This window comes from Homo sapiens, chromosome 2 (assembly GCF_000001405.40).
Source record: "Homo sapiens chromosome 2, GRCh38.p14 Primary Assembly".
NCBI classification, from domain to species: Eukaryota; Metazoa; Chordata; class Mammalia; order Primates; family Hominidae; genus Homo; species Homo sapiens.
In genome coordinates, this window is record NC_000002.12 from 127597460 (window position 1) to 127610159 (window position 12700).

The 12700-nt window shown below is 45.0% G+C and overlaps 1 protein-coding gene across 10 annotated transcripts in view; it reads left to right on the forward strand.

Moving 5' to 3' along the window:
* MYO7B (myosin VIIB) overlaps nucleotides 1-12700 on the forward strand; it is a 102044-nt gene that overhangs the window by 61777 nt on the left and 27567 nt on the right. For 7 of the 10 annotated variants that reach the window (XR_001738748.2, XM_047444437.1, XM_011511218.3 and 4 more), the window contains 5 exons: nucleotides 8385-8469; nucleotides 9747-9965; nucleotides 11240-11419; nucleotides 12047-12256; nucleotides 12390-12557. Coding sequence is in view for 9 of the 10 variants with exons in the window: in XM_047444437.1 (XP_047300393.1) it covers nucleotides 8385-8469; nucleotides 9747-9965; nucleotides 11240-11419; nucleotides 12047-12256; nucleotides 12390-12557 (862 nt within the window). In the remaining variant the exon portion in view is untranslated. The remainder of the gene's footprint in view (nucleotides 1-8384; nucleotides 8470-9746; nucleotides 9966-11239; nucleotides 11420-12046; nucleotides 12257-12389; nucleotides 12558-12700) is intronic. The other 3 variants (NM_001393586.1, XM_047444436.1, NM_001080527.2) reach the window with 1 other exon arrangement.

The window sequence follows — 12700 nt, forward strand, 5'->3', positions numbered from 1 at the left end:
ACCCCAGCAACCTCTAACCTGTTCTACATTTCTAGAATGTTGCCATTGCACAAATGTTATATACGTGGAATTATACAACATGCAGCCTGGGGTGGGCTTTTTTCACTTGGCATGTTTCTCTGGAGATTCATCCAGGTTATTGCTTGCATTAATATTTATTTATTTATTTATTTATTTATTTATTTATTTATTTGAAACAAAGTCTCACTCAGTCAACCAGGCTGGAGTACAGTGGCACAATCTTGGCTCACTGCAACCTCTGCTTTCCGGGCTCAAGCTATCCTCCCACCTCAGCCTCCAAAGTAGCTGGTACTACTACAGGCGCCCGCCACCATGCCTGGCTAATTATTGTATTTTTTGTAGAGATGGGGTTTCGCCATGTTACCCAAACTGGTCTCAAACTCCTGGCCTCAAGTGATCCGCCCGCCTCAGCCTCTCAAAGTGCTGGGATTGCAGGTGTGAGCCACTGCGCCCAGCCAGTATTTTGTTACTTTTTATTGCTCGGTGGTATTCTATGGGATGGATACACCACAGTTTGTTTAACCATTCACCTGTAGAAGGACATCTGGGCTGTTTCCAGTTTTTGGCTTTGATGAATAAAGCTGTTATGAACATTTATGAGGTTTTTGTGAGAACATCAGTTGCCGTTTCTCTGGGTTGTATGCCCAGGAGTGCAGTTGCTGAGTCATACAACGGTTACAAGTTTTGTTTTTTAAGAAACTGCCAAAGTGTTTTCAAGAGTGGCTGCACCATTTTACATTCCCACCAGCAATGTCTGGCTGACTCAGTGTCCGTGCATCCTCACCAGTATTTGATGTTGTCACTGTTTATTTTAGCCCTTCTGACAGGTATGTGATGGTCTCTCATTGTGGCTGTCCTTACCATTTCCCGATGTGGAACACCTTTGTGTGTGCTTGTCATGTATGTGTCCCCTCTTTGGTGACCTGTCTGTGCATGTTGCTTGCCTGTTTTCTAATTGGAGTCTTTGTTGAGTTTTGAGAGTTCTTTATATATTCTAGATACTAGTCCTCTGTCAGCTATGTGGTTTGTGAATATTTTCTCCTAGTCTGTAGATTGTCTCTTCATCCTCTTAAGAGGGCTTTGCAGAGCAAAAGTTTTTAATCTTCGTAAAGTCTAATTGTCAAATTTCTCTTTCATAGATCGTGCTTTTAGTGTTAAGTCTAAGAACTCTTTTCGTCAAGATTTTCTTTTGTGTTTTTCTAAAAGTTTTTATAGTTTTAAATATGTTACATGTAGGTCCATGATACATTCCCATTTTGAATTAATTTTTGTGTAGAGCGTGACACTTAGGTCAAGGTTCTTTTAAATTTTTTTCTATGGTTGTCTCCCCAGTATTATTCATAAAAAAAAGTCTATCCTTCCTTCAATGAAATGCTTTTACATCTTTATCAAAACCTAGCGGTGTGGGTCTGTTTCTATGTTCTCTATCCCATTCCATTGGTCGATGACTCTATCCCTCCACAATGTCACAACATCTTGTTTATCATAGTTATATAATAAGTCTTAAAGCTGTGTAGACTAATTCTTCCCACTTTTCTTCTTCAAAAGTGTTTTAGTTATTGTAGTTCCTTTGCATTTCCATGTACATATAAAAATAATTTTGTCTATATCTACAAAAAAAACCTTGTTGGGATTTTTGATAGTAATAGGCTTGTATAGCAATTTGAGAATTAACATCTCTACTAAATCCATCTTCCAATCCATAAACATGATACGTAGCTCCATTTATTTAGCTCTTATTTGATTTCATGCATCCGTGTTTTGTAGTTTTTAGCACACAAACCCTGTACATGTTTTATTAGATTTACATGTTTTTTTTGGAATTATAAATGGTACTGTATTTTTAATTTTGACATTGGCATATTCATTGCTAGCAAATAGAAATATGTTGGATTTTTGTGTGTTGACTTCATATCCTGCAGCCTTGCTGAGCTCACTTTTCATAAATTCCTTAGAATTTTGGATGTAGATCGTCCTGTCCTCTGCAAATAGGGACAGTTTTCTTTCTTTTTTTTCCAATCCGTATGTCTTTTATTTCCTTCTCTTGCCTATTGCAGTAGCCAGAACATCCAGTATTGTTAGAGTGGTGAGAACAGATATATTTGCTTTGTCCTTTATCTTAGGGGGAAAACACTCAGACTTTAACCATTGAATATAATGTTAGCTGTAGGTTTTTCATTGATGCCCTTTCTCAAGTCGAGGAAGCTTCCAATATTCCTAGTTTTCTGGGAGTTTTTATCATGAACAAGTGTTGAATGTCAATTTTTTTCCTGCATCAGTTGATAATGATATGTGATTTTTCTTCTTTAGCCTTTCAATGTGGTGAGTTACGTTTACTGATTTTTAAATATTGAACCAGCTTTGCATCCCTGGAGGAAACACCACTCGGTCATAGTGTATAATTCTTTTTTATGTTGCTGAATGCTATTTGTTAATGTTTCATTAAGGATTTTTGCGTCTATATTCATGACGTCTGAGGATTTTTTTTCTTTTGTCTTGTCTGGTTTTGGTATCAGAGTAACACTAGCTTCATAAAATGAATTAGGAAGTGTTTCCTCCTCTGTTTTCTGGAAGAAATTGTGTAGAATTGACGTGAATTTTTCTTTAAATGTTTGGCAAAAGTCTCCAGTGAAAATATCTGGGCCTGGGAATTTTTTTATAGAGAGTTTTTAATTATAAATTCAATTTATTTAATAGTTATAGGAATGATTCAAATTATTTTATATTGAGCGAGTTGTGGTAATTTGTGCTTTCTGAGGAACTAGTCCATGTTATCTAAGTTGTCAAATGTATGCATGTCAATTTGTTCATAATATTCCCTTATTATCCTCTTGATATCTGCAGACTCTGTAATGATATCCCCTGTGTCATTCCTGATATTGGAAATTTATGTCTTCCCCTTTTTTTCTTGGTCAGTCTTGCTAAAGATTTGTCAATTTTCTTGTCCTGGCCGGGCATGGTGGCTCACACCTGTAATCCCAGCACTTTGGAGGCCGAGGCAGGCAGATCACCTGAGGTCAGGAGTCCGAGACCAGCCTGGCCAACATGGCGAAACCCCGTCTCTACTAAAAATACAAAATTTAGCTGGGTATGGTGGCAGGCGCTTGTAATCTCAGCTACTCAGGAGGCTGAGGCAGGAGAATCGCTTGAACCTGGGAGGTGGAGGTTGCAGTGAGCCAAGATTGTGCCATTGCACTTCAGCCTGGGCAACAAGAGTAAGACTCTGTCTCAAAAAAACAAAACAAAACAAAACAAAAAACATTCTTGTCCTTTTCAAAGAATCAGGCTTTAGTTTCATTACTTCTTCTCTAATTTTTTATTTTTAATTTCCTTAATTTCTGCTCTTTTATTATTTTCATCCTTCCAAAATATATCCTTGGGTGTATTTTACCCTTCTTCCTCTAGATTCTTGAGGCAGGAGATTAGATTATTAATTCAAGGCTTTTCCTCTTTTCTAATGTAGAGTGATATAAATCTCTGTCTTAGCACTGCTTTAGCTGTGTTTCACAAATGTTCACATGTTATGCTTTCATTTAGTTCATTCAATTTCATTCACTTTCACTCAGAAGAAAAATTAAATTTTCCTTGAAATTTCCTCTGTGAAATTTAGAAGTATGTTGTTTGGTTTTCAAGTGTTTAGAGATTTTTCTGTTATCATTTTGTCTTTGACTTCTAGTTTGATTTCACTATGGTAAGAGACACACTCTGTATGAATTAAGTTCTATTAAGTATGTTGAAGTTTCCTTTATGGCCCAAAATATGTCCTCTCTTGGTATATATTCTAAGAGCACTTGGAAAGAACATATATTTTGCTGTTAATTCGGAGGTGTGCTCTGAAAAATGTCAATTAGATCTTGTTGGTTGATAGAGGTGTTGAAGTCTATATTGTTGCTGATTTTCTGTCTATGTGTTTTATCAATTGTTGAGAGAGTCTCTAATTATAATTGTGGATTTGCCTTTTCCATTTCAGTTTTATCATTTTTGCTTCACATATTTTGCAGCTCTGTTGTTTGGTGAACACACAGTTAGGATTGCTATGTCTTGGTGGATGTGCTTTTTATTATCATGTAATATCCTTCTCTGTCTCTGGTTATCTCCTTTGCTCTGAAGTCTACTTTATCTGGTATTAATATAGCCACTCCTGTTTTGATTACTATTTACATGATCTATATTTTTCATCCTTTTACTTTCGGCCTACCTATATAACTATATGTTAAGTGAGTTTCTCATAGACAGTATGTAATCGGGTCATGTTTTTCAATCCATTCTGCCAGTGTATGTCATTGGCATACATTAAATTCTCCCTTAACATCATCAACAGATTCTTGGAAACTATGACTTTCCAAGAATATACAGCAGGTGTTCGAATATCATTGTTCCCTTCAATGTGGTTTCATTATAATGATGAGAAAACCGTTGGTTCCATTACATATCATTTCACTCAAAGCCTGTTTCCAAGAAGGTATCAGCAACATTGAGGACTTACTGTATTTAGGCCTTTTACATTTAATGTAATTATTCATGTTAGAGCTCAAGTCTGCCATTTTATTTTTTGTTTTCTATTTTTTTCCTCTCTCCTTCGCATTTTTATGTTTTCTTTTTCTTGCCTTTCTATGACTTATTTAAAAATTTTTAAGTATTTCATTTTGATTTATCTACAATGTGTTAGAGTATATATCTTTTTTATAGCTCTCTAAAGTGGTTGCATTAGGTATCACACTATACACATACACACAGAGAGAAAGTATCTACCGCTGTCATCATTTTACCACTTCCAGTGAAGTATAGAAACTCTACCCCCTTTTATGTCCATTTACCTTCTCTCATATGTAATACAATTTTCTTATTTTCTCTACATACATGTAGAATGACATCAGAAAGTGTTGGCCAGGCACGGTGGCTCATACCTGTAATCCCAGCATTTTGGGAGGCCAAGGCAGGAGGATCACTTGAGGCCAGGAGTTCAAAACCTGCCTGGTCAACGTAGTGAGAACTCATCTCTACAAAAGAAAAATACAAAAATTATCTGGGCATGGTGGTGCATGCCTCTAGTCCAGCTATTTGGGAGGCTGAGGTGGAAGGATCCTTGAGGCCAGGAGTTCAAAGTTATGTTGAGCTCTGATGACGCCACTGCACTCCAGCCCAAATGACAGAGTGAGACCCTGTCTCCAAAAAAGAAAACAAAGAAAGGAAACAACAACAACACTTTCTTTGCTCATCTATAAGAAGCAACTCCTGGCTGGCAAGATGACTTATGCCTGTAATCCCAGCACTGTGACCGGCTGAGGCAGGTGGCTCACTTGAGCTCAGGAGTTCAAGACCAGCCTGAGCAACATGGTGAAACCTCATCTCTACTAAAAATACAAAAAATTAGCCGGGCGTGGTGATGTGCACCGGTAGTCCCAGCTACTCAGGAGGTTGAGGTGGGAGGATTACTTGAGCCTGGGAGGTGAAGGTTACAGTAAGCCGAGATTGCACCACTGTACTCCAGCCTAGGCGACAGAGTGAGACCTTGTCTCAAAAAAAAAAAAAAAGTAACTCCTAATCCATTCAAGTTTTATCATGAAATTGCAGCAAATTCGCCACATCTTCAGGCTCCACTTCTACTTCTAATTCTCTTGCTATTCCCGCTACATATGCTGTTTCTTCCTCCACTGAAGTCTTAACCCCTCAAAGTCATTCATGAGGATTGGAATCAACTTCTAAATTCCTGTTAATGTTGATATTTTGACCTCCTCTCCTGAATCATGAATGTTCTTAGTGGCATCTAGAATGGTGAAAGCTTTCCAGAAGGTTTTCAATGGACTTTGCCCAGATCTATTAGGAGAATTACTATCTATGGCAGCTATAGCATTATGGCATTTATTTCTTAAATAAGACTTGACAGTCTGAATTACCCTTTGATCCATGGGCTGCAGAATGGATGCTTTGTTCACAGGCATAACAACATTAATCTCCTTGTATGTCTTCATCAGAGTTCTTGGGTGGCCGGGTGAATTGTCAATGAGCAGTAATAGTTTGAAAGAAATCTTTTTTTCTGAGCAGTAGGTCTCAATGGTGGCCTTAAAATATTCAGTAAACCATGCTATAAATAGATGTGCTGTCACCCAGGCTTTGTTGTTTCATTTCTAGATTACAGGCAGAGTAGCTTTAACGTGATTGTTAAGGGCCCTAGGATTTTCAGAGTGGTCAATTAGCATTGGCTTCAGCTTAAAGTCACCAGCTTCATAAGCTGCTAATAAGAGAGTCAGACTGTCCTTTAAAGATTTGAAGCCAGGCACTGAACTCTCTATACCTCTCTATTACCTAGAAAAGTCCTAGTGGCGTCTTCTTCCAATATAAGGCTGTTTTGTCTACATTGAAAATCTGTTGGCCAGGTGTGGTGGCTCATGCCTGTAATCCCAGCACTTTGGGAGGCCAAGGTGGGTGGATCACAAGGTCAGCAGTTCGAGACCAGCCTGGCCAATATGGTGAAACCCCATCTCTACTAAAAATACAAAAAATTAGCCGGGCATGGTAGTGGAAGCCTGTAGTCCCAGCTACTCGGGAGGCTGAGGCAGGAGAATCGCTTGAACCTGGGAAGTGGAGGTTGCAGTGAGCTGAGATCACGCCACTGCACTCCAGCCTGGGCGACAGAGGGAGCCTCCATCTCAAAAAAAAGAAAGAAAATCTGTTGTTGAGTGTAGCCACATTTATCAATGACCTTAGCTAGATCTTCTGGATAACTCGTTGCAGCTTCTCCATCAGCACTTGCTGCTTCACCTTGCACTTTTATGTTATAGAAGTGGCTTCTTTCCTTAAACCTCATGACCCAAACTTTGCTAGCTTCATACTTTTCTTCTGCAGCTTCCTCACCTCTCTCAGCCTTCACAGAATTGAAGAGAATTAGGATCTTGCTCTGGGTTGGGCTTTGGCTTAAGGAAATGTTGTGGCTGGTTTGATCTTCTATCCAGTCCACGAAAACTGTCTCCATATCAGCAAGAAGGCTGTTTCACTTTCTCATCATTCATGTGTTCACTGGAGTAGCACCTTTAATTTCCTTCAGGAACTTTTCGTTCGTATTCACAACGTGGCTGTTTCGCGCAAGAGACCTAGCTTTTGGCCTGTCTCAGTTTTGGACGGGCCTTCCTCACGAAGCTTAATCATTTCTCACTTTTGATTTAAAGTGAGAGACATGAGATGCTTCCTTTCACATGAACACTTAGAGGCCATTATAGAGTTATTAACTGGCCTAATTTTAGTATCGCTGTGTCTCAGGGAACAGGGAAACAGAGAAAAGAGAGAGAGATGGGGCACTACTGGTTGGTGGAGCAGTCAAAACACACACATTTGTTAAGTTTCCCATCTTATATGGGTGCAGTTTGTGGTGCCCCAAAACAATTCCAATTGTAACACTAAAGATCACAGATCACCACAGCAGATGTAATAATAATGAAAAATTTGAAATATTGCAAGAATTGCCAAAACGTTATACAGACATGAAGTGACCACATGCTGTTGGAAAAATGATACCAATAGACTAGCTCAACACACGGCTACCACAGACCTTCAATTTCTAAAAACACAATATCTGCAAAGTGCAATAGAGCAAAGTAACATCATAATAAACTGAGGCATGCCTGCATCTCTATATGCACTGAGCTTGCCTGGGAGTGACTCCGTCTCGCCAGAGCCCAGCTTTCAGGTTTTCTTCTCCGTGTCCAGCCCTGGGCTAGTGGCCAGAGGAGGGCCGTCTGCAATAAAAATGCGGAAGTAAGTTTTATCCTTTTGTAGCTCTTTGGGGGTAGAGGGAATGAGGGAGAATTTTCTGATAACTTAAAAAAACTGGACTGTTGGCTGGACACAGTGGCTCACGCCTGTAATCCAGCACTTTGGGAGGCCGAGGTAGGTGGATCACTTAAGGTCAGGAGTTTGAGACCAAACTGGTCAACGTGGTGAAACTCCATCTCTACTAAAAATACAAAAATTAGCTGGGCGTGGTGGCAGGCACCTGTAATCCCAGTTACTCAGGAGGTTGAAGCAGGAGAATTGCTCAAACCTGGGAGGTGGAGGTTACAGTGAGCCGAGATCCGTGCCATTGCACTCCAGCCTGAGCAACAAGAGTGAAACTCCATCTAAAAAAACAAAAAACAAAAAACACTGGACTGTCATCATCCACAAATTTGGGTTGCTGATAGTAGATTTTTTGTTCCTAACCTGCCTGTGCGTCTTTTGGTCTGTAACACCTTCTGAGAAAGGATTGTACGTATTCATTTTTCCCAATATTTCACTAACCCTGTTCCCTTCCAAACCAGTTTTTCTCCCTCAGAAGCTTTAAACCATCTGGGATTGTTACATGTGTGTGGCTTGCATTGCCCTTCTAGGAAGGAGTTCCTGAGGCAGAGGCGGGCAGCTGTGACCCTGCAGGCCTGGTGGAGAGGCTACTGCAACAGGAGGAATTTCAAGCTGGTGAGAGAGCTCTCTGGGGCGGCTGGGCCGCGGGACCAGCGGGTAACTGTCCAGTAAAAGACAGATTTGTAAAGTTTGTTTCTCTGAATGAGAGACCTCAGGCAGGAAGGATCAAATCATTCACAGACGTGGCATGCAAATTTAAAATGATCAGACCTCAGCATCCCACACAGTCTCTTCTTAGCATAATCTCTGGCCCCATGGTCTGCAGGCTTCAAAATGTTTTGCAGAATTTGGAGCATCCTCAGAGCTAGACTAGGTGTCCTGCTCTGGAATGGAATACCTCCTGTCTTTTCCCAACTTGCAGGCAACAAATAAGCAAATGGATTGATTATTCTTTGTTCCAAGTACCTTTTCCTAATTTTTTCTCTTAACCACGGGCATTTGCTAATGAGTATCTGCTCAAAGGAATGAACTAGAGCAACCATGGCTGTGCCTGTGTCACTTGGCCACTTGCTTTTGTCACGGATGTGACTGGTTATGACACGAAATGGTCACATCAGCAAGACTGGCCCAGCCTGCCTGCATTCCATGCCCACCAATGGCATGATAGTAGCTGACCTGTGTGGAGCAGTTCCTTGGGGCCTGTTGCTTCGCATACATCATTTTATTTAATATTAAACCAACTCTGTACGTCAAGGAACTGAGACATAGAGGGGTTGAGCAGTTTCCCCAAGAGCATGAGACTAGTAAACCCCAGAGTTGGGGTTTAGATGAGGGGCTGTGACTTCCAAGCTCTTAAGCCAACCCGTTGGGCAGGTCTTTAGGAAGCCCAGGGACTGCTGTGGCCCAGGGGATGTTTGCGGCACTGACGTGGTGTTCATCCATTTATTACTGCACTTTTACTTTAAAGATGCCCTCAGGGATTTGAGTGGCCACAGGCCTCCACACGGGTGTGCTAGCCCGTGAGCAAGTCAGCTGAACTTGGCTGGCAGATGTGGACAGCAGGGCCTCAGGAATCCACTCTCCCATTTCACCCATGTGAAATCCACACCAATTCTCTCCATCCACGGCCCCAAGGAGGCCACTTTATTATTTATGCTATTTCACAAATGCTTATTTAGCACTTATTTGCATGTCACGCTCTGGCCTAAGTACTTTGTAAGCAATAACTCACTATTCTTGTGTTCATAGGTGTGTACCATTCTAGCACCGGCCCTTTGCCAAAACAAAACTAACTGTAAATCTATCTTGCACTGCCTCCTGGGGAGCACCCCTCTCTGTTTCCTGGGGAAGGCCTTCTTGCCCCTGATCTCACCTCTCTCTTGCCTCCGCAGATCCTCGTGGGCTTTGAGCGCCTGCAGGCTATTGCCCGGAGCCAGCCGCTGGCGAGGCAGTACCAGGCCATGCGGCAGAGGACAGTCCAGCTGCAGGCCCTGTGCAGGGGATACCTGGTGCGCCAGCAAGTCCAGGCCAAGAGGAGGGCAGTGGTGGTCATTCAGGCCCATGCCAGGGGCATGGCTGCCCGGCGCAACTTCCAGCAAAGGAAGGCCAATGTAGGTGGTCACCTGGCCTCTTGGGCAGGTGGGGCTGGCTGGGGCCCCAGTGGGTGAGGGCAAGAAGGAGTGAGCGGCTGTGTAGAGAGCTCACCAGAAGCGCTTTGGAAAATCCCCCCGCCCCCGCCACAAGCCAAGACGTTAAAATCTGTTCAATTACTCAAGAGCACAGCAAGGATACAGGACACAAGATGCAAATTAGCAGGCACCTGGGCTGAGATGTAGCTATCACGAGAGACACACCGTCCTCCTCTCCCTATTCAAAGTCAGTTCTACAATGGCTCTGCAATGGCTGGGGAGCCGTGGCCACCACCCAGGAGCACGCAGGGTATAGCATGGGAGAGGCAGCAGGTCAATGGGACAGCCTTAGCCTTGAACCTGGAAGGTGAGCTCAGGTCCCCTCCCTTTCACCTTGGAGATGATTTCTGGGGCAGGGATGGTTGGTCCCCTGGAAGGTGCAGCAAAGCTGAGCCAGACAAGCTGGGAAAGGCCCCAGTTCCATGGAAGAGAGCAAAGTGTCCTGGTTACTGGGCTGTGTATGACAGCTCAGGGGACAGAGAAATATTAATACCAAGGGGAGCTGCTGAGTGTCTGGGGGGCTGGGAGGACACTGAGCAGGGGGACAGCACCAAGAAAATAACCCCATTTCCTCCATCGAGTACTCGAGACTCAACCTTCACACTTGGCTCATTTGGAAGTTGTGATAAGGCAAAGGGGCTAGGATGACGTTGACTTCTGCTCCATGGATGAAAACTTGGTCTACTAAGCACACTGCTAATACAGTGAACAGGGCAAATGAGAGAATGCACCCATAGACACGTCAGCAGCATGCTTCTGCACCCGCATGCCCCCAGCTGCCTGCAAAGCAGCCTTATCTGTGACTTCGTTACTGCAGCCCCTGGGGACCTGTCCTGGTGGACCCTTTTTGCCCTTTGAATAAAGGGACCAAGTGGTCCTGAGCAGTGGTTGTGCAGCTGGGTTCCTGGGGGTCCCTGGAGTTTGAAGGGGTGCCTTAAGAGCCATCTGAGGGTAGGGACAAGCCAGCAACCTCACCTCTCCAGAGCTCTGATTATCACTGGGAAAGGGAAAGCCCTGGCTGGTTGATCTCTAACCACACTAGCTGTTAAAATCTACTGTTTCAGAGCAGAATATTGATTTGGACAAATGATGGCAGGATGAGGCTTACTTGGCTTCTGGGAGGTGCTTGCCCTGTGGGGTAGGCAGGGCTGGGCCCCCTGAGCCCTGCTGGGCCCCTGGGTAACCTTCCTCCACGGGGTATGCAGGCGCCGCTGGTCATCCCGGCCGAGGGGCAGAAAAGCCAAGGCGCTCTCCCTGCCAAGAAGCGCAGATCCATCTACGACACCGTCACTGACACGGAGATGGTGGAGAAGGTGTTCGGCTTCCTCCCTGCCATGATTGGGGGCCAGGAGGGCCAGGCCTCGCCGCACTTTGAGGTAACACAAGCCTGGTGTCCACAATCCGCCCCGGGTGGGGACAGGGAAGCCTGCCCAGTCCGTGAACTCAGTCCACCTCTCGGCTCCCTGAGAAGCCAGAGCGGTGGCCAAGTGTGTGCTGCAGCCCTGCTGGTCCCACACGGAAGAGGGGAGCGTGCGTGGGTTCTGTGGTCAAAGCCTTCGAGTCAGGCAGGCTTCCCACCTGCAAGACTTCCTGGAGCCTTCTCTACCAATGCTGCCGGGCTCTCCATCACATGGCATTCCCCGCGTATATTTGACCCCACCCGGGCACCCCCAGAGCACCTTTGAGGCCGCTGCTCTGCAGTGTGGCTGAGGAAGCTGCAGTGAGGATGGTGCATGCGGCAGAGGACACAGTGTCTGAGCGTGGGGCCAGGAGGGGAGAGGGCAGGAGCCCTGCCCCTGCCCGGCAGGGTGTGTAGAGAGCCCTGTGCTGGCACACGGCAGCCCACCTGAGCCCACTGAATGTGGGGATGGGTGGTCTCCAGCACCTGAGGGATCAGGGTAATGCAACAGCCCCCGTGCTGCCCGGCCTGCTGGACAGTCAGCTGATGGGTTGGTTGTTACCTGAAAGCCCTGCTGACCCGTGTTCTCCCTCAATGGCCGTAGGATCTGGAATCGAAGACCCAGAAGCTGCTTGAGGTTGACCTGGACACAGTCCCCATGGCGGAGGAGCCTGAGGAGGATGTGGATGGCCTGGCCGAGTACACCTTCCCCAAGTTTGCTGTGACTTACTTCCAGAAATCAGCCAGCCACACACACATCCGGCGGCCCCTCCGATACCCGTTGCTTTACCACGAAGATGACACTGACTGCTTGGTACCAGGGTTCACTGGCTTCTAGTGGATCAGGCCAGCCCCGAGCCTGGGGTGTGAGCTATGGCTCGGGGAAAGAAGGAAGGGGCCATAGTCACTGATGGGTTCCCACTGGGCCTTCTGTCTTGTTTCCCCAGGCCGCCCTGGTCATATGGAACGTCATCCTGAGGTTCATGGGTGATCTCCCAGAGCCAGTGCTGTATGCCAGGAGCAGCCAGCAGGGCAGCTCAGTGATGCGGCAGATCCATGACACGCTGGGCAGGGAGCACGGTGCCCAGGTTCCACAGCACAGTAGATCTGCACAGGCAAGTGGGGGGCAGCAGCGGGCAGAGGAGGGCGACACCTACCAGGTGCCTACCAGGGCCCAGTCCCTGGGGCAGCTGGACAGGACGGAGAGACAAGACCTGGAGCCCTGTCCTCAGCCTTACCCATGGAACCCAGCCCCCAG